Below are 27,765 nucleotides of genomic sequence, written 5' to 3'. Positions count from 1 at the left end.
TTCATTAATTGGATTCTTAAGTTCCAGGATTTCTGTTTAGTTCTTTTTTTTTTCTGGATATCTATTTATTTCCTGAATTTCCCCTTCAGATCCTGAATTGTTTTCCTAATTTCTTCATATTATTTATTTGTGTTCTCTTATATCTCTCTCAGTTTAAAAAAATCATTATTTTGAATTCTTTTTCAGATATTTTATGGATTTCCTTTTCATTGAAATATGTTATTGGAGAATTATTATATTCCTTTGTACATGTCATGTTTCCTTTTTCATGTTTCTTATGTTCTTACATTGATATCTGCACATCTGGTTGAACAGTTATTTCTTCCAATTTTATGTATTAGCTTTTGTAGGGAAACTTTTTCCTGTAGATGTGTATATATAGTGTTGCTTGAGTAAGATGCTATGGCTTTGATTCTGTCTGAATGGGCATTATGGTGCAGTCTGTGTATAATTTTTTTGGCTATAATCAACGTCAGTGGTGGCTGTGTTCCTCAGTGGCTTAGGTTTTTGTTGTTAGTGGAGGCTGTGGTGAGGCTCTGCTGAGATGGAGACTCCAAGCAAGCTGGCCCTTAGATACCTGTGGTGGTGGTGGCAGGCTGGATGTGCTGGTCCTTGGACCCCCAGGCTTCTAACAGTTGTGCTGGTGGTGGCAGGTCCTGGTGGGCCAGTTCTTGGGCCTTCAGGTGGGCTTGCTCAGGTGTCATGGTGGCAGTGGTGGTTCATAGACTTTTGTGATGTGTGAGTGGCATTGGTGATGGTAGTAGCTGTGTCTGGTCAATCCTTATTCCTTAAGCACTGCACAAGTGGGTGTCTGTGGTGGCTGGGCTAGCCAGTCCCCGAACTTCCAGGAGGCATCTGCAGGAACTGCCAGCAGGCTGGGTGGGCCTATGCCTAGGCTCCCAGACAGTGCATGTCAGGTAGGCTTGTACTCAGTCCGCCAGAAGCCATGTGCAGGAGCCATTGGTGGTGTGCTCCCTAGTCGATCCCTAGTCCCCCTGACAATACATGTGCTCATTGGCAGTGATGGCAGTGGGTAAGATGGACTTGTCCTCTAGCCCCACTGATGGTGTGTGCAGATGGTTACAGATGGGGCAGGTTGATTTTCAGGCTCCCGGAAGAATCATGGGGGTAATGACTTAAGCGGTGGCTGGCAGGAAGTACCTGTCCTCATGCTCCCTGATGGAGTGCACAGGCAGTGGCTGTGGCAACCTGGGTGTGTCATTTCCCAGGCCTCTGGATGGCGCACTGTGGTGCTGGCAATGGTGGTCATGATGGCTCTGTGGACACCAGCAGTGGTGGGCAGGGAAGGCCCCAGGTCCCTGAATGATGTGTGTGGGTGCCGCCAGCAGAAGTTGTGAGGGGGCAGGTCTCTAGTCAGGCTCCCCAGTGGTGTGTGCAAGGCTCTGGCCATAATGGGTGGGTTGGATTAATCCTTAGACGTGTTGACAGTGCACTTGGGTGCCAGCAGTGGTATTGGTGGGTGGGGTGGGCCTGTTTTCAGGCCCCAGAATGGCTCATGCTGCCTGTGATGTTGGTGGGTGGGGTAGGCCTATTGTCAGGCCTCTCAATGGTATGTGCTGGTACTGGTGGTAGTTGGTATGGTGGGTTGATTTTTTTAATCCCTGGACAGCACATTCATGTGCTAATGGTGGCAGTGAGCAGGGCTGACCTAGTCTTATGCTCTCTGATTGTGCATGTGGGCACCGGCTGCATTGGGTAGGGCTGGTTGCTTCCCAGGTCCCTGAACCATGCACTCAGGCCCTGGTGATGGTGGCAGTGGCCAGGGAAGGCATGTACTCAGTCCCCTGTATGGTGCACATGGGTGCCAGCAGCAGCAGTTGTTAGGGTCCATTGATTCCCAGGCTCCCAGATGATGTACTTGGGTGCCAACATTGGTGGCGTTGGCAGGGCTTGCCTATTTTTAGGCCCCTGTATGGCATGTGCTAGTGCCTGCAACAGGTAGGAGACACTTATTCTGGGGGCCTGGGATGTCAGCTGGGAAGGCTGGTCCCCAGACCCTCTGAAGATGTGTGCAGATGTTGTAGCAGCTCTGCCCCTGGAGGGAGCTGGGTTGCTGTTAGTGCCTAGGCAGGCACCTCTCAGACTTTGGGAGAACATGCTTTGACTCCTTTTGTCCTGGGGGCAACCTTCCTGGAGCATTGCACTACTTGTTTTCTGGCACGCAGGATACTGTCTGGGCTAGAGTGCTGGGGATCTGGCCACACTACTGGTTCCAGCCAACCTTGCAATGCTGCAGCCTTCTAGGTGGATTTGGGGAATGTTAGCAGGCCTTCAGGGATGTGGAAATAGAGGGGCTGTTGGGCCTCAGGGCATGATGTCGTCTGTTGGTAACTAGGCTCTCAAAATGGTACTGCGTTGCAGCTGCTTGAGTCTCAGGGGATGTGTGGGATCCAGCATGATCTCTCCCTGTTGAACAGTGCAGTTATGTGGACTCCAGGCAGCCCCCATATTAGTCTCAGGTCCTGCCAGGGCCAAGGGGCTCTCCTTTACCTAGGATTACAAGAGTCTTCAGTGGAACATGGACTTCCGGGGATTTCTTGCTTACCTTTTCTTCACAGCAAGGAGTCTGTCCTGGCTCTGAGTGCATCTTAGCCAGGACAATTGCTTCATTTCCCTTTTTCTGTGCCTGAGAGATTCCCTGTCAGTTCTCTGCTGAATTACAGTGTTATTTTTTAGGAGCTCTATTTGATAGGTGGTTATCTAACAGCTGTTTTGGTTCTTAATTGTGGAGGAGGCAAGTGCCAGATACCTCTAGTCAGCCTCTTGAAGCCCCTCATTAATTTTTTTTTTATCCATGTATTCTTGTAGTTCACTGACGTTCTTTAAGAGGATTATTCTGTATTTCCTATCTGTCCTTTCACAGATCTTTCTTCAAGGTCCTGTTGTTAGCGGCTTTGCTCATTTTATTTTGGAGGTGTCTTGATATCCTGATTTTTCTGGTCCTTGTGTCCTTGTCTTGTTGTCTGCTCATTTGAGGAGAGCTACCTTTTTTAGTTTTTACAGTTTTGGCAGAGATGGACCTTCTCCATTTAGTCTGGCTTATAATTCTAGATGTGTCAGCTGGTAATGATCCTTGGTAGACAGAGTTTGCTGTTGGGTTCTCTAGATGACTGGGCTGCTGCCTTTGCTCTGAGTTTGGGTAGGTCAGCTGACTGGGCTTTGCTATCGACTGAGAGCACTGGAGGAGCTCTGCAATTCATTTGAGCTCTGGATGGTAGTGCAATTGTCTTAGATGGAGAGGGTCACAAGATGTATTCTCTGGCTGTGTGATACTGCTATTTGAGTTCAGCAGTTGGACGGGGTTGCAGGAGAGGCCCTAAGTTTAGGTGGAGTTGCCCATCAGATGGATAGGACCACCTGCTTTGCTAAGTAAAAATGCATAGTTGACGTTAGACTCTGCCTATGTGGGGCCTTGGTGTAGGCTTTGAAGCTGGACTGAGCACTGTTTAATCTCCTAAATGTGGCAGATTTAGCCCCTGCCTTTTGCCAAAATCTGCTGTAGTGGTCATCCTTGTCCTTGGGTGGGGTCTGAGGGTGGGCTTTGAGGTTGTGGGGTGTGTTCACTTCATTTACTTATGTGTAATTCCTCATGAGAAGACATTCAAGGTATTTTTTTTGTCTATATGTCAATGCTTCAGTAAGTGGCACATATATATATACTGTATATATACACACACACATGCACACACACACATCTCCATATATTTATTCTAGTAAATCCTTTCAGTTTGAATCTGTTATACTCTAACAAGATTAGGTGTTACGATTAAACTTTTTTTGATAAGCCGTAGGCAAAAATATATAATTGTTTTCATTAAATTGTCTTCATTTCATTCGTCTTTTATTTTTTGTATTAGGCCATTCTTGCACTGCTATTAGTGAAATACCCAATACTGGGTAGTATGTAAGAAATGAGGTTTAATAGGCTCACAGTTCTACAGACTGTACAGGAAGCATAGCAGCATCTGCTTCTGGGGAGACCTCAGGAAGCTTACAATCGTGGTGATGTCACAGGATCCTTGTGGTGTTGCTTCGCCAGCTGGTGACCTCTTTGCCTGAGTTTTACTTGGGTCTGCTGGGCTTGTTCTGCCCACTTGGCCTGGCAGGCTGTGCTTGGCTCCCACTACTGGCCCGGATTCCATACCTGCCAACGGCGAGCCAGGTGCAGAGTGGCGAGGGGTGTGTGAGCGAGTGAGTGCTGGGTCTGGCCACTGTGCACAGCCAGGCATGTCGGCTGTGGTGGGACGGGCAGCTCCAGGTGCTGGCACGGGTGCTGGCTTCCCACAAGACTGCAGTTGGACCAGTCGTACTGCAAGTGGCTTCCACTGCTGGCACTGGGGATTGAGGTGGTGCCCAGAAGCTTGGAGACACCAGGAACTGCAGAGCCCCAAAGAGGGTGTCACAGCCCTGGCTAGGGGAACTCTTAGGTGGGCTCCCTTAAGGGCCACAGCTCTTCTTTCCTTCTGTCTTCTCTTCTTCTAGTCACCCGCAACGTGGCAAGAGTGTGTAGCACCCTTTTTAGCCCTGTTTGTATTATAGCTCTTCCAGTCCTGCCACTTGGCAAGTCCTGAATTCTTGTCCTGTGTTCAGGAAGAATTAGGTATGTGGACAACTGGAGGGTGAGTAAGGTAAAGTGGTGTTTTATTGAGTGACAGTACAGCTCTCAGGAGACCTGAAGTGGATAGCTCCTATTTGCAGGCAGGTGATCCTGTCGAGTATACAGCTCTCAGCTGAGAGGGGACCCACAGTGGGTAGCTTCTCTCTGCAGGCAGGTAGTCCTGATATCTGCCCAAGTCTGGCTGAGTCCAGGGGTTTTTATGGCCTTTGGAGGGTAGGAAGTGCACGCTTATTGGTCCATAGGCAGCCATGGCTCAGCCTGGAGAAAGCACCATAAGTTGTCACTCTGGTCCACGGAACTGGGAGCCTGGGCCCCAGACTTCAGGCTGTCCCAGGCCTGAAGGAGGGGCTTCACTGGGGACACTCCCCTTTCTGCCCAGGAACTGGTCTGCCTCCCACTGCCATCAACCTCCTATCCCCAGTGCCCAGGCAGTTCATGCTGAGGGGTGCCTGCAGGCCCACACTGAGCTGCCCTCAGCATCCCCTTCCCTCCTGTGCTCATTGGCCCCCAAAGTCCAGAGGGGGCTGAGGTGGCAGGGGGCTGGCGTGTACCCGAGCATGTGTACACCTGGCCAGGTTGTGACAGTGCCTCGCCTTGGCCTCAACTTTGCTCTAGAATTGGAGTGGGCACTGAGAGTGGAGAGGCTGGGCAGTGGGAGCAGACACTTCTGAGTGTGCGGGGGCATGGGGGCCTTCCTGGGCTCCTTAGAGTACAGGAATGCCCAGGTTTGCAGCTGTGGCTATGTGGCTGCAGCAGTGCTGGGGAAGGCAGGACTCCCGCCCCTCCAACTTGGAAGGAGGGTGGGGCTTCTGCCTGTTCCCAGCTCCCACCAGCTCTGTGGAATTTGCAGTCCCGGCTGTGCCTCCCCCACTGCAGCCGGCCTCTTTGCAGCAGCTGCTCCAGATGGGCTGCTGCTGCTGCCATCAGTGGAAAGCAAAGGGGGAGCAGGCACATCACATGGTGAAAGCAGGAGCAAGAGAAAGAGTGGGGAGGCTGCTACACACTCTTAACCAGATGTAGCAAGAACTCACTCACTTATCATGAAGACGGCACCAAGCCCTGAAGGATCTGCTCCCATGACCTAAACACCTCTCACCAGGCCTCACCTCTAGCATGGGGATATAGTTCACTATGAGATTTGGTCAGGGACAATTATCCAAACTTAATCATTTTTAGTGAATATGTTTTAAAAAATTTCTTATATGAGTTTCTGTTAGTATTTGTCCTTATTAGGGTGCTCATCTCTTATTCATTTTAAAAACTCTCATTAAAGGTATTGACTCTTTGTAATATGTATTGTAAATTGTTTTTCAAGTTTGCTATACTACACTTTCTTTATAGTATCTTTGATATAGAAGACTTTTAGTTTATTTTGCAAAATATGTTAGTGTTTAATTCCTGTGTTTTGGCTTATCCCTGGCAAGACCTCTTTAACCCCAAATATGGAGATAAGTCAGCCAGCTACTGTTCTCATTTGTACTGCTTTAGATGAGCTATCAATTCCTGAACAAGTCTGTAGATTACTTTCCTAATTGAAGTTCTGATTCTTTTTTTGCCCTTCCATTATAAATATTTATTAAGAACTCCCTTTTAGGTCAGACTGAGCAGAATGTTTTAGTATTTTTAAATTTTACTTCCCATTGGGATTTTTAGAAATACTTTATAACTGCTAATGTAAAGAAGTCTAATTTAATTTCCAAATAATATATACCGAATTGTATTAGAAAATAGGCTTGGGTGTGGTGACTCATACCTGTAATCTCAGTGCTTTGGGAGGCCAAGATAGGAGGATGGCTTGAGGTCAGGAGTTCAAGATCAGCCTGGGAAGCATAGCAAGACCCTGTCTCTACAAAAAACTTTTAAAAAAAGAATTAGTCAGGTGCAGTACTGTGTGCCTGTAGTCCTATCTACTAAGAAAGCTGAAGCTGGAAGGTTGCTTGAGCCCAGGAGTTAGAGGTTACAATGAGCGATGATCAAGCCACTGCACTCCAGCATGGGTGACAGAGTGAGACCCTGTACCTAAAAATAAAAAAAAGAAGAAAAATATTTCATAAAATTATGTTTTACAAAAGTAATAAAGGTTTTATTGTAGCTAGCCACTCAGCAGGGATTGGTAATTAGCCTTGAGTGAAAGGGATCAAATTGCTATTTTAAATTGCAAGACTCTAATATAGACTTCCAACAGAGGGAGCCCAAAGCTTTTAAATGGAAGTGGAGGAGGTTTCATTTTTATTAATGTATTCCAGCTCTGTCATAGTTTCCTATATTCATGTCAGTTGATTTTCTTTTTAAGCTTTCCTTTGGTAATTTGGTAATGACAATAATCCACATAAACACTAAAGAAGATACTCTATTTTGAGATCATTTTCCCCTGTTAACTTAAAATTTCTCTTCTATGTTTTATGTCATAAATTTTCTTCTGACTAGCAATTTGAAAAACACTGATACAAATAGTGCATATATCCTAAGTTCAACTCCTTTATGCTAGAAACATTAGTCAGTTTTGAATAAAATTACTAATAATGATACTCATTTGCACGGTTAACTCTTGAACATTTGCATTATATGGTTATCACTCTTTTCAAAATAATATTTCATTATTATCTATATGTAATTTATGTAAACATTTAAACTTTTTCCTAATTTGAACAATAATGCATATTTATATTAAGAGATATATAGAAAAGTATGAAATTGATATTACCCATAATCCATTCCTCAATAATAAGCATTGATAATATTTTGATATGCTTTCATCTAAATATTTTTCTGGATTAAATGATTATAATCATGAAAAATAGTGTTATTTTTATTCATTTCACACTATCCTCTTTTGATATTAATCTTTACTTTAGGCCTATGAGATAGATAGGAGAGCAGTTAATATTTCTATTTTATAAATGTGGAAACTTTTTGAGGTTCAAAGAGATTAAGTGGCAGAGGTAGAACTATAACACAGGTCTAATATATATGAGATGCATTTAAGTTAAAAAACATAATGTTAAAATAAACACCCAAATGTTCACCTTCTATTAAAAAATAGACTATTATCAGCATCACCGAAGCCTTCTGTGTTCCCCACTTTGCCCATTCTGTCCCATTCCCATGCATTCGCCTTAGAATTAACCACTTTTCTGAATTTTAAGTTTTATATAATTGTGAACTTTAGAAAAATGATTCAGGTTACTGAACAATATGTATTACATGGCATGCATTTTTTTTGCCTAACATTTTTGTGAGATTCATTCATGTTGATGCATAGAGCTAGAGATCATCCAGTTTTACTTATGTATTTATTGTATTAATATTAAAAATAGATCTACCTACTTTTTATTGATGGAGTTTGGATTGTATCCAGTTTTTTTTCTCTCATAAACAATGCTCCTTTGGACATTTTCATTTTATATGTGTTGCCAGTAAATAGTATGTATCTGGATACTTCTCTTTTTACATTCAGTCTACATTTATTTTTAACTATAAGGCATAGTCTGTTTATATTTTATACTACTATTTTTCTTTATGCTTTTTATTTGGTCTGCTTGACTTTTTTTCCTTTCTTGTATTTTTTTTTTTTTTAGAGATAGGTCTTGCTATGTTGCCCAGGCTGGAGTGCAGTGGCTATTTACAGGCATGATTATAGTGCACTACAGCCTTGAACTCCTGGCCTCAAGTCAGCCTTCGAAGTAGCACACTATAGGTGTGCACCACTGTGCCCCACCCATTCTTGTATTTTAAAAATTAGTTATGTTTTGTTTTGTGTGTGTGTGTGGGGGGGGGGGCGGTGGTTTGCTTTACGTTCTAGAAGATTTAGACTCTTTCTATTTTTAAATAGTTTTCTATAAATTATAATATACTTGATAGACCTATCAAAGTCCAAAGTTAATTAGTATCTGTGTTCTCATTTTGAATAATAGGGACTTTAATCTATTTTAAGTACATTCACATTATTGTACAACCATTACCACCATTCATTTTCAGAACTTTTTTCATTTTTACCAAACTGAAACTCTGTATCTATGAAACAGGAACTCCTCATTCCTCTCTCCCCCTAAACCCTGACAGCCACCATTCTACTTTCAGTTTCTATGATTTATTTCATGACCCTAAGTACCTTAAATAAGTGGAATCACAGTATTTGTCCTTTGCTAACTGACTTATCTCGCTTAGCATAGTGTCTTAAAAGTTCATCTATGTTGCAGCATGTGTCAGAATGTTCTTCCTTTTTAAGGCTGACTATATTCCATTTTATGTATCAACTAAATTTTGTTCTATTCATCTGTTGATAGATAGTGGTGTTGCTTCTACATTTTGGCTATTGTGTGTAATGCCATTATGAACATGGGTGTTCAGTGTGTGTTTGTATCTCTCCTTTAAGTTCTTTTGGGTATATATCCAGAAGTAGAAGTGCTGGATCATATGGCAATCTATTTTTAGCTTTTTGAGGAAACATCATACTATTATTCATAGTGGCTGCACCATGTTACATTGCCACCAGCAGTGCACAAGGGTTCCAGTTACTCCATATCTCGCCAATACTTGTTTTCGTTTTTTTGATAATAACCATCCTAATGCATGTGAGGTGGAATCTCATTGTGATTTTGATTTTCATTTTCCTAATGAATAGTGATATTGAACATCTTTTCGTGTTGTTGGCCATTTATATGTCTTCTTTAGAGAAATGTTTATTCAAGTACTTTGCCTGCTTTTGAATTGGATTTTTTTTGTAAGTTGTAGGATTTCTTTATATATTCTGGATACTGATCCCTTAATAGATATGGGATTTGCAAATATTTCGTCTCATTCTGTGGGTTGCCTTTTTACTCTGATGAAGTCTACGTAATCTGTTTCTTTAGTTGACTGTGCTTTTGTTGTCATATTCAGAAATGTTAACAAATCTAATGTGAAGATTTTCCCCTATGTTTTCTTCCAAGAATTTTCAAAATAGCTTTATGCCTTATGCTTAGGTCTCTGATCCATTTTGTGTTAATTATTGTATATGGTGTTAGGTAAGGGTACAGATTCATTGTTTTGCATGTGGCTATTCAGTTTTTCCAGCATCATTTGTTGAAAAGGCTGCCCTTTCCTCATTGAATGGTCTTGGTACCCTTGTTGAAAATCATTTGACCATGTATTTGAGGGTTTATTTCTGGGATCTCTATTCTGTTCTGTTGGTTTATGTGTCTGTTTTTATACTAGTACCACACTGTTTTGATTACCGTAGCTTTACAGAAAGTTTTGAAATCAGAGAGTATTAATCCTGCAACTTTGTACTTTATTTATTTATTGGTAGGTTTTTTTTCTCTGAACACTTAAAAGATTTCACTCCACAGTGTTCTTACTTGCATGGTTTCTGAGAAATGAGATACAATTCTTGTCTTTGTTTTTCTATAGTTAAGGGCTTATTTTTTTCTGGATTTTATTAACTGTTTTTAAATCTTTGATTTTTTTGCAGTTTAATATGATATGCCTAGGTGTTATTTTTTGGGCATTTATTCTCTTTGGTGTTCTCTGAACTTGCCAGTCTGTGATTTGGTGTCTGACATTAATTTGGGGAAATTCTCATGCATTATTGCTTTGCATTTTTCCTCTGTTTCTTTACCTCTTTCTTCTTATGATATTCCCATTATGCCTATGCTACACCTATTGTAGTTGTCCCACATTTCTTCAATATTCTGTTACGGGTTTTTTTAGTCTTTTTTTCTCTTTGCTTTCCTGTGTTGGAATTTTCTATTTCTATATACTCAAGTTCAGAGATTCTTTCCTTTTCCATATCCTGTCTACTAGTGAGCCCATCCAAGGCATTGTTCATTTCTGTTACAGTGTTTTGATCTTTAGTATTTCTTTTTCATTCTTCATTACACTTTCTCTCTGCTAACATTGCCCATAAGTGCTTATATGCTGTATACTTTATCTGTTGATCATATTTGTTTTAAATTCCTAATCTGATAATTCAACATCTCTGACATGTCTGGTTCTGGTTCTGATACTTGTTGTCAAACTGTGGTTTTTTTTCTTTTAGAGTGGCTTTTAATTTTCTTTTTGTTTTTTGTTTTTTTTTGGATAGTTGGACATGACGTACTAGATAAAAGCAACTACTGTAAATAGACCTTTAGGAATGTGGTGGTAAGATGTGAGAGGAAGAAAAGCATTCTGTAGTCCTGTTAGGTTTCAGTCTTTTAACCCATTTATGCTTAGTGTTCTATTACTGGAACGCTAGGCATGTGGAAGTTATTTATATCCTACTGCTAAAGGTTATCACCAAGCTGTGATTGCAAAAATTCAAAAAATTGCAACCTCAGGCGTTAATGAGCCTTTGTCCTTGGCCTGTTAACTTTACAAGTGCTTCTCATTCTCTTCTGAATGCTTTGGTGCAACAGCATACCTGGAATATAATGAAGTTAGATATTTCCCTTCTCCCACATGGAAAGCTAGATGGTCTTGGAATTGTGTATTTTCCTTGCTTTTCCTCACACAGAATGCTAGACGGAGCTAGAGTTGGGTATTTTTTATTTCCCCTGCTTGATTAGGCTCTAAAAAATAACTCATAGTTTAGGCTCTGGTGAAATAGTTTTTCTTGAGGGCAGGCCTTGTTAAGAACAGAATGCTCTGATATATTTGAAAATGTTTTCCTTCCTCTGCTGAACCATGAGGGGATTTTTCTGATATTCACTGTGAGAACCTGGTTGAACTCCTGGAGATAAAACTCACAAAAGTGTGCGACCCCCTTTATGACTAAGTCCTCTGGGATTTTTAACTCTTAGACTTATGTACACTGAACCCTCAGCAATTTGTCAATTGCAGTTTAGGTCTTCATACTCCAATAGTAGTTACTGGGACTGTTTCTGCTTGTGGGTTTTTGCTTTAGTAAGTTGCGATTCTCTGTATTCACCTGGCTGTCTTTCTCCCATTTTGGGGGCAGCCATTCATCCTGTGACTTCACTTTTCTGTCACGTCCAGGAAGAGTTGTTGATTTTTCAGTTTTACCCGTTAGGATAGATAACTTCCAAGCTCCTTTCATGTTGGACTGGGAACTCCTGTGTATTGCACTTCGTTTGATGCAGTTTTGGGTTTAATTTCTCTTTTTTATTTTGATGCTCTTAGTTTATCATTTATTAAAAGTTTACCATGTATGTGGTTGAATCCGATCATATTTTTCTCTATAATTTCTTTACTTCCATTCTCAAGAAATTCTTCTTCCACAAGGCTAATAAATATAGTGTTTTTCTTCTGATGGTTGTTTAAAAAAAATCTTACAACTTTTAGTCATTAGCATATGATAGTTCATTTTACCTTAGAGTATTGGATGTAGTTCTGAATTCTTTTTTTTCTCTGTTGTTACCCAGTTAGTCCACTACAACTGAATTTGAAAGCTTTGTTTCCCAGCTTTGTTTCAAATTCTTCTGTTTTTTTTTCTTTTTGCATTTTTTTAAATTATACTTTAAGTTTTAGGGTACATGTGCACAACGTGCAGGTTTGTTACATATGTATACATGTGCCATGTTGGTGTGCTGCACCCATTAACTCGTCATTTAACATTAGGTGTATCTCCTAATGCTATCCCTCCCCGCTCCCCCCACCCCACAACAGTCCCCAGAGTGTGATATTCCCCTTCCTGTGTCCATGTGTTCTCATTGTTCAATTCCCACCTATGAGTGAGAACATGCGGTGTTTGGTTTTTTGCTGTTTGCCAGCCATTTCTTATATACTAGTCTGTAATACTATACTTTACTTGTTGATGTTACTCTGTATTATGTTTTATTATGAAATTAGTAGAACTAGTTCTCCTATTCCCTTCATTTATTGTATATTTTAATACCTTTTTTGTATTTTAAAGATTGTAATAGAATATCAGTAACCTAAAAATTGCCATTTTAACCATTTTTAAGTGTACAGTTCACTGCCATTAAGTACAGTCACATATTTGTGCAGCCATCACCACCATTCTTTTCCAGGACTTTTTCCATCTTCCCAAACTGAAACTCTGTATCTATTAAACTCTAACTCCCTATTTTTCCCTTCTTCCAGTCCCTGGCAATCACCATTCTACTTTCTGCCTGTATGAATTTGACTATTCTAAATATGTCATCATATGAATGGAATATCAGTATTTGTCTTTTAGTTAGTGGCTTATTTTTTCTTAGCATAATGTCCTCAAAGTTCATCCATATTGTTGTGCAACCATTATCACAACTTTTTCATCTCAAGCAGAAACTGTGTTACCATTAAATAATAATTCCCCATTCTCCCCTCTCCTAATCCCCTAGTAGCCTCTAATCTACTTTCTGTCTCTGTGAATTTGTCTATTTTAGTTACCTCTTTAAGTGGAATCACACAATATTTGTCCTTTTGTGTTTGGCTGAGTTTACTTAGCATAATGTGTTCAAAGTTCATTCATGTAGCACTTATCACAAGTTCATTCCTTTTTATGGCCCAATAATATTTTATTGTATGAATATACCACATTTTGTTTTTCTTTTCATTTCTTGATGGACCCTAAGGTTGTTTTCACCTTTTGGCTATTGTGAATAGTGTGCCACAGTGAACAGTGGAGTACAAGAATCTGTTCATGTACCTGCTTTCAATTCCTTTGGGTATATACCTAGGAGTGGGATTGCTTGGTAACTTTGTGATTATGTGTTTAGCTTCTTTTTTTTTTTTTTTTTTTTTTTTTGGAGATGGAATTTCGCTCTTGTTGCCCACGCTGGAGTGCAATGGCATGATCTTGGCTCACCGCAATCTCCGCCTCCCGGGTTCAAGCGATTCTCATGCCTCAGCCTCTGAGTAGCTGGGATTACAGGCGTGCGCCACCACGCCTGGCTAATTTTTGTATTAGTAGTAGAGACGGAGTTTCTCCATGTTGGAAAGGCTGGTCTTGAACTCTCGACCTCAGGTGATCCGCCCGCCTCAGCCTCCCAAAGTGCTGGGATTACAGGCGTGAGCCACTGTGCTCGGCCTGTGTTTAGCTTCTTATATCGCAGTTCTCTATTTAGCTTTTTGAGGAACCACCAAACCATTCCACAGTGACTGCACTGTTGAACATTCCCACCAACAATGTACAGAGGTTCCAATTTTTCTACATTTTTGCCAATGTTTAACTTTTTTTAATGAAAAAAAAATTTTTTTTTAAATTACTCTGTCCTAATCTGTGTGAAATGGTATATTGTTGTTTGGGCTTGCATTTCCTTAGTGATTAGTGACGTTGAACATCTTTTCATGCTAATTGGCCATTTGTATGTCTTTGGAGAAACATCTCTTCAAATACTTTGCCCATTTTTTAATTGTTATTTATTTTTTGTTGTTGAGCTGTAGGAGGTCTTTATTATTATCAGTATTAATCCTTTAATATATATGTGGGTGGGAGATATTTTCTCCCATTCTGTGGGTTGTCTTTTCACTAGTGTCCTTTGATAAACAAAAATTTTTGATTTTTTTTTTTTTTTTTTGAGACAGAGCCTCATTCTATTGCCCAGGCTGGAGTGCAGTGGCACAATTGTAGCTGCCACCTTGAACTCCTGGGATCAAGTGATTCTCCCCTCAGCTTCCTGAGTAGCTAAGACTACAGGGGCATACCATCATGCCCAGCTAATTATTAAATTTTGTGTGTGTGTGTGTGTGGGTGGGGTGAAACCCCATAATGAATTATGTTCCCCAGGCTGTTCTTGAACTCCTGGCCTCAAGCAATCCTCACTCCTCAGCCTCTCGAGTAGCTGGGATTACAGGCGTCAACTACCATGCCCAGCCATAAGTTTTCAATTTTAATGAACTCCAATTTATCTTTGTTGTTGACTGTGTTTTTGTTGTTATATCAAAGAAATCACTGCCAAATCTAATGTCATAAAGATTTCCCCTATGCATTCTTCTAAGAGTTTTATAGTTTTCTGCCTTATATTTAGGTGTTTGATCCACTTTGAGTTAATTTTTGTAGATGGTGTTAGATAACTGTCCAACTTCTTCCTTTTGCATATGACTATCCTATGTTCACAGCACCCTTTATTGAAAAGACTGTCCCTTCCCTATTGAATGGTTTCAGCATCCTTGTCAAAAATCTTTTGAGCATATATTTGAAAGTTTGTTCCTGGGTTCTGTTTTCTATTTCTATGGTCGATATGTCTCTCTTTATTCTAGTACCACGCTATTTTAATACATTTTTATAATTTTAAAGTATATTTGCTTGGCTATTTAAAAAAATTCTTAGAATTTTGTTGCATTGGAAAATATTTATTTTGAGCTTTTATTACATTTACTTGTTAACTTGAATAATGTGAATATTTATATTTCTTGTTCAGGAACTTGGGTGTTTCCAGTCCATTCATTTCCTTTTCTTATAAGAGGATGGAAGCTAACAGTGTTTGAACATTGCTGTCCTTATCTTTAAACACGTGACTTTCCACCATGTACAGTTTAGAACCAGATTGTCATATTCTGCAAAAAACTGTTATTTGGATTGAGATTATATTACAGATGTGTTTGGCTTCACTGTTGTGCATTTGAATCATATGACATTACCTTTTGAAAATACTCATTTTTATTTTTGGTTTCATGCCAACTACTTAATGCTTAGCGTTTAGTCAAGAAAATCCTCTGTTATAAAGTCTTTTTTCTACAACCATATAACTTTTAATGTGATTTACATGTGAAATCTTATTTTGTTTTTCAGTGTTCATTGTGCTAGAAAAACAAGGACTATTACACTGTTTGCTTCTTATATCAGGGGAAACATAAGTACCTAAGCATCTTTTTAGATCGTCTTTTAGGTCACATTTTATTTTTGTTTATAGTGCCTGTAGTGATAATTCTTTCAGGGAGGACAAATTTTTTTTGACTTCTCTTTTGGTTTTCATTTTCAGTAAACAAAACTCTATGGTATAAATTTGCTTAGATGCCCTTATTCTTCAAGAATGATTCTTGAGGGTTGAGGAGTGGAATGATTTGACTCAGTCAGAACCTCTTTGCAAGTGAAATTGGCTCACCCTTACGATTTTGATTATTTTGGCCTTTTAATTTCCAATCTGAAAATAAAGAAAATTTTACCAAAGTAAATATGAAAATGAGCAGTGTAATAGCAGCAATAACCCTTTCTTTAACTATGACACTACACTGGTGATGTTTGGATACTGTAGCTTTTTTTAATTTATAAGTCATTTTTAGCCTTCCAAATAATTCTCTCAAAACAAGGAAGCATTACGTGTAATTGGTCTTTATAGTCCTTGTTTTTGACTTATACTAGTTGCCTTAGTTGTAAATAATTTATATATTTTAAAATTATGAAATACTTCAAATATGTACATAAGTATAGAGAATAATATGCCAATACATATCACTCAGATTTAACCAATATAATTCCTATTTTTTCAGATTTAAATTTGTTTTTAAAGAAGTATTATAGAAAGTTGAAAACTTATTTATTTTATATTCCCTGATTCTAATACTCTCCCTCTTTAGAGTTATCTACTACCCAAATAGGCTTGAATCCTTCCAGTCTAAGTTTTTATATTTTGTTTCATATGTATGCACTTATACATTATAGTATGTTTTATATTTCTAAATTTTCCTTAGTAGTAACATTGTGACTATCATTCCAAAATTTGTTATTTTACCAGTACCTTAGACTTTAAATTATTTTCTCTGTAGGTAAAATTTATTACCACATACTACTGAAAATTTGTTACCATACTTTTGGTATATGAACCACGCTTGAAATATATTAACATTCAGCTTTGGCTTATAATTGTTTGCCTATACATAGGTTTAATTATTGAGGTACTTGTGTCCTTGGAATTTTACTTTTTAAACCTAATTTAATACTTGTATAGTATTACTCTTTTGCTCATTTTGCATGTACACAATCCTCCAATGTTGATATCTCATTTTTTTTCCCCCTAAACACACATGGGGAATTTAAAGGTAGAAAAGGGAGGATAACTTATTTCTTAAATCTGAGTTCAATATTTTTTTTACTACCCAGATCTTATAGTCTGCCATGTGGGACTGTGTTTGTAATGTGTTGGATTTTTAAATACATGCTAGTTGGCTTCTAAATTCATTTGGGCTTTATTAGAATTGAGTATAATACAGTTCTCTTTTGCAGGGGCTCACAACGAAGTAAGACAGTAGATGACAATTCTGCAAAGCAGACTGCGCACAATAAAGAAAAACGAAGAAAGGATGATGGCATTTCTCTTTTAATATCTGATACTCAGCCTGAAGGTTTGTGAACCTTAGAAAACTGTTGGAATTTGAATTTTTTCTTATTGTATTAATAATAATTTTTGTTATAAATAAATTATTTTATTTTACTTTGAAAGGATATGTGAAAGTAAAGGGAGATTATTTGGCAACACAAATAAAATTGCTAAACCTACTCTTTATGTAGCGTAGTACTCATTTCTAGATTTATTTACTAATCCCAAAAGTTAAATTTTAATATATTTTTTTCTTCTTTGGGGAGACTTGGATATAGCTATGAAGTTATGTTCATTTAGCTGTTTCTAAGTGTTGTTTCCATGGATATTAATGTTACTGCTAACTGGGTTTTTATTATTAGCTAATCACTGTCTATTTGCCTACCATGAAATACATTCTCTATTCATTAGAATTTCTCTCAACTTCAGGAGGATGCCAAACAAGCCACTATTAGCAAATTTGAAGGTAAATACTTCCTAGACTTGTGAAAATTTTTTGTAGGCCTCCTTGCATATAGGATTTATGATTCGACTTCTTTTTCTTTTTTGCCTCTCTTTCAAGAATTAAAAATATTTTACTGATACTTGAAGAAAAACAATTTTACTACATTATTTATTTGTGAAACTAACACCTTTAGGGGTCTGTTGGATTATTGATAGCTTCAAATGTTGTTGAAGTCTCTTTGTTGCTTGCTTTCTTTCTTGCTTTTCTCTTTCTCTTTTTCTTTTTAAGACAGGGCCTCACTCTGTCACCCAGGCTGGTGTACAGTGGCATGATCACACATGATCACAGCCCACTTCAGCCTCTATCTACCTCCTGGGCTCAAGTGATCCTCCCACATCAGCCTCCCGAGTAGTTGAGACTATAGTCATGCACCACCACGCCTGGCTAATTTTTTGTATTTTGCAGAGACAAGGTCTTGCCGTGTTGCCCAGGCTGGTCTCAAACTCCTGGGCTCCAGTGATCTGCCTGCCTCGGCTTCCCAAAATGCTGGGATTATAGGCAAGAGCCACCGCGCTTGGCCACTGTTTTATTTTTGAGTGATTTCATAAGTTATTCACAATACAAAAAAATCTTTTGATGATGCTGTGCAAAAATTCATTACACTTCATTTGGAGCACAGCTATTTAAAGATTCTTTTTAGTAGCCTTTTTAATAGAAAAAAATTTAAAATGAAACTACAGTAATAACTTTTATTTGTACAAGAAACCAGCTGAAACTCTTATAAAGGCAGTCTTTGGAGAATGTGCTGTGACTTTGTTCAGACAAGCTTCCAATTAGTCACTGTCAGTGTATAATGAAAAACATTTATTTTCTTATAAACTGTACTTTTCTTAGAAGTAATTACAATCATCTCTGTGTATCTTTGTGTTCTGCATCTGTAGATTCAACCTAGCAAAGATGGAAAATATTTGAAAAAAACTTCAATAAAAATAATACAATCATAAAAAATACATATAACAACTACATAACATTTATGTTGTATTGGGTATTATAAGTAATCTAGAGATTATTTAAACTATACAGGAGAATGTATATAGGTTATATGCAAATACTATACCTTTAGGGGCTTATGGATCCATGGAGTTTGGTATCCTGGGTCCCTGGGACCAATCCCCTGAGGATACTGAGGGATGACTGTATTGATTACCAAGTAAAAATGTAAGTATTTGTACAAGTGGGCTCAGTTCAGGTACTATCAAGACAAAGATTCCTACTCTACCCAGGAAAGCAGTAGAATGTGAGGACTAACAGTCCTCACATTGACTTGAATAAAATACTTTCTGATTTGTACCCAGGAGTGTTACCTCAAGATCACAGTGGCATTTTAGACATGCATCAGGGAAGAGTACATGACAAAAGAAACATTTTTTAGTTTTTCAGTATCCCTGAAGGTACCACTACTGGTAGGGAAAGTGTTTCTAATACAATTAGCTATTGAATCTTTATTAAAGCAGTGTTTACTCTCCTACATCTGATACCAGTTATTTTTTAAAAACCTGTAAATTAATGGAAATTCTGAATGAAATCTTAGGTGTACCATTTTTTTCCATAGCACATTAAGTTTGCCTTGTGGAATTTGCTTTCACCAACATAATACCTTGGAAATACTTAGTATTCTTTTGTTTACAGGATTTTGTCACCTCTTTAGTTTTATATGCTAGTAATATTTGCAGGTTGAATTATATATTATGCAGGTGGAATTCTATTTTTACAATATTTCATTCTATATAATAAAGTTATTCCTTTTTCCATGAGACAGGCTTGACTGATATGCAAATAATAAATTGTTTAAAAGAAAACTCCTGTATAATCAAGTTTTTCTCAAGCCCCTTTCCTTTCATGAATCATTTTACTGTAGTATAATATTTATGTTTAGAAATTATAGTTTGATACATTGTGTGTAGAAATTGTATTAGACCACTTTTATAGTTTACAATATTACATATAAAATTTAATGTGCTATCCTAAATATTGTGTTGATGATTTGGGGGGAGTTTTATTTTCCTTAGGGAGTAAGGTGTTTTCTCTGGAAATTGAAAGGCGATTGACTATCTTGGAATTTTTACCCTCAATCCTGTTCCAGTGCCTTCCTTTAAGTAATGTCAAAGACAAATTATCATGAATATTAGTTATTAGGAATTGTTGAAGCTACAGTAAAAGCAAGAATAGTTTGAAGAGAAGATGTATGGTGTTGAAGAACGTTCCGTGAATGGAAAAGTCAGGCCAGTCAGATGAATTGAAAATTGTGAATTAAAGGCAACTGCTTTGTGACTTGCTGTGTATAAACTTTGAGTTGGTACTTGTATGACATAGATTCAGAAAGCAAAATAATTCAGGATAACTTTTAGTCAATTAGGTGGAAACTTTTGGAAGGTATTTTTGTACAGTACATATATTTGATAACAAATATTAAATATTTTTAGTAATGATTGGCATGAGTTTCAAAATGATGTCTTGTTGACTTAAAAAAGGAAGTACTTCTCTAGAATGATGGATTTATTGGAGACTTAAAATGACAGGGTCTTGATTATTGAAAAGAAGAAATAAACTGGCAAGTAAATTGGTAACCTTGTGAATGATCACATATTATAGCCAACTACAGAGCAAAGGTATTTTGTCTCCTTTTAAAGAGCAGTGATCAACACTCTTTCAAATTATAGTCCCTTTCCACTAAAAATATGTATTTATGTAAATTACATTTTAAAAGACTTAGTTTATAAAGTCACATTGAATTATCAAACTTTAAGACATGAATTTTCTGGATTTTAATAAGACCCCCCCTTTTTTATTATTATTATTATACTTTAAGTCCTAGGGTACGTGTGCACAACGTGCAGGTTAGTTACATATGTATACATGTGCCATGTTGGTGTGCTGCACCCATTAACTCATCTTTCACATTAGGTATATCTCCTAATGCTATCCCTCCCCCCTCCCCCCACCCCCCACCCTACAACAGGCCCAGTGTGTGATGTTCCCTTTCCTGCGTCCAAGTGTTCTCATTGTTCAGTTCCCACCTATGAGTGAGAACATGTGGTGTTTAGTTTTTTGTCCTTGTGATAGTTTGCTGAGAATGATGGTTTCCAGCTTCATCCATATCCCTACAAAGGACATGAACTCATCCTTTTTTATGGCTGTATAGTATTCCATGGTGTATATGGGCCACATTTTCTTAATCCCCTTTTTTTTTTGATAGTACAGCCAAATGCATTTATAGCAAATGGAAAAACAGTTTGGTGGCTTTGCTTTGGCTACTATGAAAAAGGATATTTCTTCTTTATATATTTTTCTCACCTCACAACTATTGTATAATGAACATTTACTTGGTATATACCAATTAAAATAGGGCATGCCTTTACCTTCATCCAGTGTCAGTATGAGAATTTAACAGTACATTTCTGTTTTAATGAGCTTTGGAAGTAGTATAGCAATCCTGATGATGTTACTTCGAGCTTTTCTAAAAGAGATTCTCTCTATACTTTTTTGTCCATATTTATGCTTCATTTGTTTTTTAAGACCTTAACAGTGGAAGTAGAGGTTGTGATCATCTCGAACAGGAAAGCAGAAACAAGGATGTTAAATATTCTGATTCAAAAGTGGAACTCACTCTGATTTCCAGGAAGACAAAGAGAAGGCTTAGAAATAATTTACCTGATTCTCAATATTGTACTTCTTTGGATAAGTCAACAGAACAGACAGTAAGTAGAGGTATTTAGATATTATAGGAAATAATTTCATGCTATGATAAAAACGAGTTGACTGTGGCCAAATAATGTTCCTCTAGCTTTCAGCTTTTATTATGAGATTTCTTTAGTTTTTGGTTCACTGTTAGCTTTATTATTAAAAAACAATTCTAAATGTAACTTTTCTTGGTGATACAGAGTTATTGGAACACATTTCAAATACTATGAATGATTAAAAAAGTTAAAATTGCTTATTTTCTTGTATCGCTCTTTCCTTAGTAGGTAGTTGTACATCCTTCAGACTTTTCTTTTTCTTTATTTCAGCCAAATACTATTCATACTGTCTAGTCATTTTTTTTTGCTTGCTCTGTAAAATTATTATTAGATTTATTTTATCAGTAGCAATTTACTTATCAAATTCTTTAAGCTTCTGTTTATCTAGAGTTTAGGGAATTTATTCTAAGTAAAGAATTATCATATTAAATACATACATTTTCTATTTTCAAAGACTTAGTATATAAGTAGCAATAAAACAGTAAGACAGCTTTTCAATTTCTTTGATCCATAAATCATTTCAGGACCTTGTAATGTTTTTGGGTTGTAATTATAAACATGATTCAGATTTATATAGTAAATGAGATATTGAAGGCAGTGGTTGATTTTCATAATTTTTAATGTTGTTATATTGTTGATTTTTAAATTTTTTTACCAAAGTAGTTTTACCAAAGTAGTCACATTGGCATTATTACTTTTGCAAAATAAAAATATGTAAATACATCTTCTCATTCTAAAGTTGACTTAGATCATGGGAGACCGTCTGACAAAGCATTTGTAATGATGGAAATCTCCCAATTTCACCCTTTAAAAAATTATCAGGCATCAGATTGGACAGACCAAATCCTGTATCTTTAAATTTGGGAGACATTGGCAAGTATAATGTAGTATAATTGTTTAGTTTTCTATCCATGTAGTTATAGAAGTGATATAATATTTTTACTTTTTTTTAGGAATTTAAAAATGGTTTAAGCAAGCCAAATTTGAAAAATGCTATTTTTTTCTATGTGTTTATGTTTAGAAAAAACAAGAAGATGACTCAACAATATCCACTGAGTTTGAAAAGCCAAGTGAAAACTATCATCAGGATCCAAAACTGCCTGAAGAAATTACAACTAAACCTACAAAAAGTGATTTTACTAAACTATCCTCACTTAACAGTCAGGAGTTGACTTTGAGTAATGCCACCAAAAGTGCCTCTGCCGGTTCAACCACTGAAACCGTTGAGAACTCTAATTCCATTGATATTGTGGGGATTTCTTCCCTGGTTGAGAAGGATGAGAATGAGTTGAATACCATAGAAAAGCCTATTCTAAGAGGACATAATGAAGGGAACCAATCACTGATCTCAGCTGAACCAAGTAAGTGACAGGAGGATTATAAAGTTACTTAATTTCCTCTGCTTTACTTAGTTATTTTTTTATTCTTCTTGAACAAATTTGGCTAAGGCCATAAGCTGTTTATGACATCATTGTGGAATATATTAACTTTAGGAAAAAAGGGCTTGGGGTTTGGGGTCTCCTTCATGAGTTTTAAAATATCGATTTAGGTAAACTAATGGAGGACTTGAAAACAGAAGTAATTTTTTTCTTAGATTAGTAAGTACACTGTCATCTCAATAGTTTTAAAATAGATTATTTAAAGACCATCATTACTGTCATTTGGTTGATGAATTATGCAGAGTTTAAGTGCTATCTGATTATTATCATTAATTTTCATTTAATCAGCTTCTGAGTAGTTGATGCCATCACATGGTACAAAGAAATTCCAAAGGTTTTAAAGGATCTCCAGTGAATACTCGCCCACATCTTCCCCTAGTTATTAATTTCCCATTCCTTGAAGCAATTCATGTAACAGGACTTAAAAGTACAATTTAGAGTGATGGCACAATACACTGTTAGAACTAGAATTTGTTACTAAGGCCTCCTCATGGCTTTATCCATTTTTAAACATCTTTATTCTTTAGAAGGTAAGGGTACAGGTAACTGCTGAATAATTGCGCTGATATAGAGTCATTGTCTGTAACTACTATAAATCAGATAACAACTGATAGGCCTGTTTCTAAATTGAATAAATTTAGATGATTCAGTTTAACAGGATTATTAAAAATAAATTGCATTAATTAGAAAGTTCTTTTTTTTTTTTTTTTTTTTTTTGAGACAGAGTCTCTCTCTGTCGGCCAGGCTAGAGTGCAGTGGTGCGATCTTGGCTCACTGCAACCTCCCCCTCCTGGGCTCAAGTAATCTCCTTAATCAGCCTCCCAAGTAGCTGGGATTATAGGCATGTACCACCATGCCCGGCTAATTTTTGTATTTTTGCTAGAGACAGGGTTTCACCATGTTGGCCTGGCTGATCTTGAACTCCTGACCTCAGGGAATCTACCCACCTCAGCCTCCCAAAGTGCTGGGATTACAGGAGTGAGCCACTGCTCCCGGCCAAAAGTTCTTTTTTTGATATGTGATTGTTACACATTTAAAATACATTTTTCGTCTGGGTGCAGTGACCCACACCTATAATCCCAGCACTTTGGGAGGCCAAGGCAGGAGGATCACCTGAGGTCAGGAGTTTGAGACCAGCCTGGCGAACATGGTGAAACCCTGTCTCTACTAAAAATACAAAAATTAGCTGGGCATGGTGGCGCATGCCTGTAATTCCAGCTACTCGGGAGGCTGAGGTAGGAGAATTGCCTGAGCCCGGGAGGTGGAGGTTGCAGTGAGCCGAGATGGGGAGACTGTGTCTCAAAAAATAAATAAATAAATAAATAAATAAACAAAAATACATTTTTCTTTTCCGTTTTAGTTGTTGTTTCCAGTGATGAAGAAGGACCTGTTGAACATAAAAGTTCAGAAATTCTTAAGTTACAATCTAAGCAAGACCGTGAGACAACTAATGAAAATGAGAGTACTTCTGAATCAGCATTGTTAGAACTACCATTGATTACATGTGAATCTGTACAGGTAATTTATTTCTGTCTTCTCATAGATTAACAATGAAATGTACACTATTGGTTAATGACTGTTATTTGTTTTATCAAGCTGAATATTGTAATGAAAATTACAAATTTTCTTAGTTTGAATTTTCAGACAACTTTTATAGTAGTTTGAGTGAAATACGTAGTTGTCTTTATTTTGAAATGAAAAGATTATGCCATTTTCTTCTGGTGATTTATATTTTTCAGTCTGAATAGTCTATTACTTGAATATTTTTCTTTTTTTATGGCTTTCATTGGACATTTCACTAACATTTTGTAGAATTAAACACATTTTCTAGTATTTATATGTCTGGTCTTGGAGTATTATGGCTACTTGGAATTACTCCTTTTCCTCACATACTATGAAGGCAGTATGATATAGAGGAAAGAACATGGCTTTGGAGATATAGGTCAGAAACCTATCAAGTTTGGTAAGTCCTCTGCCTCTTCATTCTTATAGAAAATCATAAATGGAAGTGTGTTAGTTTAATATCAGTCGATTAATTCAGTCCTTTGAAGAGAGTAGGTCTAAAATAAGGTTCAAATCATTTATTATCAGTATTCTTTCTTTCTTTCTTTCTTTCTTTCTTTTTGAGACAAGGTCTTGCCCTGTCACCCAGGCTGGAGTGCAGTGACATGATCATGGCTCACTGCAGCCTCAACCTCTTGGGCTCAAGCATCCCTCTCATTCAGCCTCTCAGGTAGCTGGCACCATAGGCTCATGCCAGCAAGCCTGGCTAATGTTTTTAAAATATATACTATTTTTAGAGATGAGGGTCTCTCTTTGTTGTCCAGGCTGGTCTCTAACTACTGGGCTCAAGCAATCCTCCTACCTCCACCTCCCAAAGTGCTAGGATCACATGCATGAGCTACCGCTCCCAGCTGGTACTCTTTCTTATTATTAGTCTGTGATTATTCTATTTGTAAGAAAAGATCATTGACCACCAGTGCAGAATTATGGTAAACTTATCTTGTTTTGTTTTTGAATAATGTCAGAGGCTGTTATTTTGCAGAGTATGGTGAAGAGTTGGCCCGATCTATGAAAACAGTTTGGTCTGATTATTGTTTCATGGGTATTTTCTTTTGTATTTGGTATTCCACGTAGAAATCACCTCAGCAGCTTTGTTCTGAATTTTTGCAAAAATGTAACCATTTTTACCAGATGGGGTCAATATCCTACTTGATGGTTTAGTTGTATATATAATTAAAAGTGTCATTATTGATAATGAATTTAAACTTGTAGAAGAATTAGGTCTTGGCAGGGTATAAATTGACAATGTAGTATGAAATGATCATATTATAAGAAAATAACATATCTTGTGGAATTTACTACATTCATAATCACAACCAAGCAGCCAATACTGTGGAGATCTACAAAGACATATAAGGCAGAATGCCACATCTCTATGCTCTCTCTTGTTCCAGTTTTAAATGAATTATGAGAAATATGGATTGGTCATTTTTAGGAGCCAGCTAGTTTTTACAAAATGTGAAACCCAATGAGAAATTATTTCTATACCAACTTCTCATTTTATCACTAAAAAAGCCCACAGTTATTTGTCTGACTGATGTTGGAGCTACCTGATTTGATTTGATTGATTGATTCCCTTTTTTACTTAGGGAATAAGAAGATATTAATAGTATACTAAGCAATAAAACATGAGAATGACAAAGAAATTCAATTAAGCAGGTAAATGGCGTTATGAGCTGGGTTTAAAATAATGAGTATGATATATGTTTTAGATAAGGATTAGTCACATTTGCGAGAGGTAAGAGGGGAGTGAGTACATATGCATAATAACTGCTTTAGTAGTAATCTGTTTGGTAATGTGTGATGTTACGGATAATGTGCAGAGGTTAGGCACATTTGAAAAAGTTGAAAAAGTCATCTGAAAGTAGTGTAAATTTCAGAAGAAACAGTGGGAAAGAGTTGCTGCTGATATTGCCTGGTTTTCTATTATAATTTAAAAGCAAAGTTATATAGTCACTTGAGTGGAAGTGATATGATTTTTGAGGTTTTAGGCAAGTATAAGCCATTTCTGGTTGGTTGTCTTCAAACATAGAGTATACAATAAAGCATATAAATTTGAGATAACAGATGGTTCTTAGGTACTTACATTCCTTCACGGCATATTAAAAGTGCAGTAGCACACAGGCATAAAGATGGGAACAATAGACATTGGAAACTCCAAAAGTAGGGGGAGGGTTGAGGAGAGCCAGGGCCATAAAACTTCCTGTTGGGTATTATCTGGGTGACAGGTTCAATAGAAGCCCAACCCTCAGCATCACGCAATATTATCCTTGTAACAAATCTGCACATATGCCCCCTGAATCTAAAATAAAAAAATTTTAAAGTGCAGTAGCAAGAACATTATTTTGGTTAATGGAAACAATTTTATGTGGTTGAAGTGACACTGGACCTGGAGAGAGAAACGTGCATTTGAATCTTTGTTTTGCTTCTTACTAATCGCATGATTTTAGGCAGGTCGCTTAACCAATCTAAACATCTGTTAACTTTATTTATGAAATGGGAAACTGAAAAACCTGCCTATAGGGTGGTTGTGGGGATTAAAAGAGATAATATATTTAAAAACCTATTTTAAACAAAAGTACAATATATGTTTAAAACTTTCTTCTGTCAAGTTAAAAATGAATAAAACCTATTAGAGACTATTGAATGTGAAACCATGGCTTTGATACAGAGGAGTATATATTTCTGGAGCTTAGGCTGTGGAATTAATTTTGGATTCAGCTATTTAGTGTAATTTTCTCAAAGGTAAGTCATATATTTTTTCAGAAAAAAAATCTAGATAGCTATTTCTTCACAGTAAGAACAGTATAAAGTTCTTCAAAAATTCACTAATAGTAATTTAAAGAAGAATTTGATGGTGAAAGTCATTTTCAGCATTTATATAGTACTTAAGAATTATATGCATTTTATGATTTATTCCTTGTTAGATGTCATCTGAATTATGCCCATATAATCCTGTCATGGAGAACATTTCCAGTATTATGCCTAGTAATGAGATGGATCTACAACTGGATTTTATATTTACTTCTGTTTATATTGGTAAAATAAAAGGAGCTTCTAAAGGTTGTGTTACAGTAAGTATATTTTCTTTAATTTTCTTTTAGTTTGGATCTTGGACAAGGCATTTTAATTTTTTTCCTTTTTTTTCTTAGCACAAATAAGAATAGAATTAAGATTTATTTTATATGGGACACTTTGGATATGTTGAAAGTCATTATACCTAATTTGAAATGTGTCTTTCATTCTCCCCTCCTAAAATCCTACCTAATCTGACTACTCTAATGAAAATCATGTGTGAAAAAAAATCACATGTATTGATAATCTTTGGGTTCTAAAAGTTATTTGATGGTAAAGTAAAATTTTTTTCAAGGTATAGTTTGGAGCATAAAGAAGAAATCTTGTTTTACCAGTTTAAACGGTTGTAAACTGACTTCTCCAAATTTCTAAATTAAGGATATCCAGGAACTAATCCTACGCTGTTTTTCTAATTAAAAAAGAAAATACTCCTCCTCACCCACTGTATATGAAAGTGAGACTGGATTCTACTCGGTTCTCTATTTTTTTTTTTTGGGGGGGCGGACAGAGTCTCACTGTTTCACCCAGGCTGGAGTGCAGGGGCGCACTCCACTGATCTTGGCTCACTGCAACTTCTGCCTTCTGTATTCAAGCGATTCTTGTGCCTCAGCCTCCCGAGTAGCTG

At 37.2% G+C, this 27,765-nt stretch overlaps 1 protein-coding gene across 18 annotated transcripts in view; it reads left to right on the top strand.

The window, feature by feature from the left end:
* SENP7 (SUMO specific peptidase 7) overlaps positions 1-27,765 on the top strand; it is a 189,008-nt gene that overhangs the window by 124,359 nt on the left and 36,884 nt on the right. For 17 of the 18 annotated variants that reach the window (XR_007095714.1, XR_007095713.1, NM_001282803.2 and 14 more), the window contains 5 exons: positions 16,728-16,846; positions 20,843-21,024; positions 22,085-22,424; positions 23,863-24,020; positions 26,993-27,139. Coding sequence is in view for 16 of the 18 variants with exons in the window: in NM_001282803.2 (NP_001269732.1) it covers positions 16,728-16,846; positions 20,843-21,024; positions 22,085-22,424; positions 23,863-24,020; positions 26,993-27,139 (946 nt within the window). In the remaining 2 variants the exon portion in view is untranslated. Of the gene's footprint in view, positions 1-16,727; positions 17,001-20,842; positions 21,025-22,084; positions 22,425-23,862; positions 24,021-26,992; positions 27,140-27,765 lie in introns of those variants that run through there. The other variant, NM_001282804.2, reaches the window with a different exon arrangement.

This window comes from Homo sapiens, chromosome 3 (genome assembly GCF_000001405.40).
Source record: "Homo sapiens chromosome 3, GRCh38.p14 Primary Assembly".
Lineage (NCBI taxonomy): Eukaryota > Metazoa > Chordata > Mammalia > Primates > Hominidae > Homo > Homo sapiens.
This window is presented reverse-complemented; position numbering and strand designations above follow the sequence as displayed.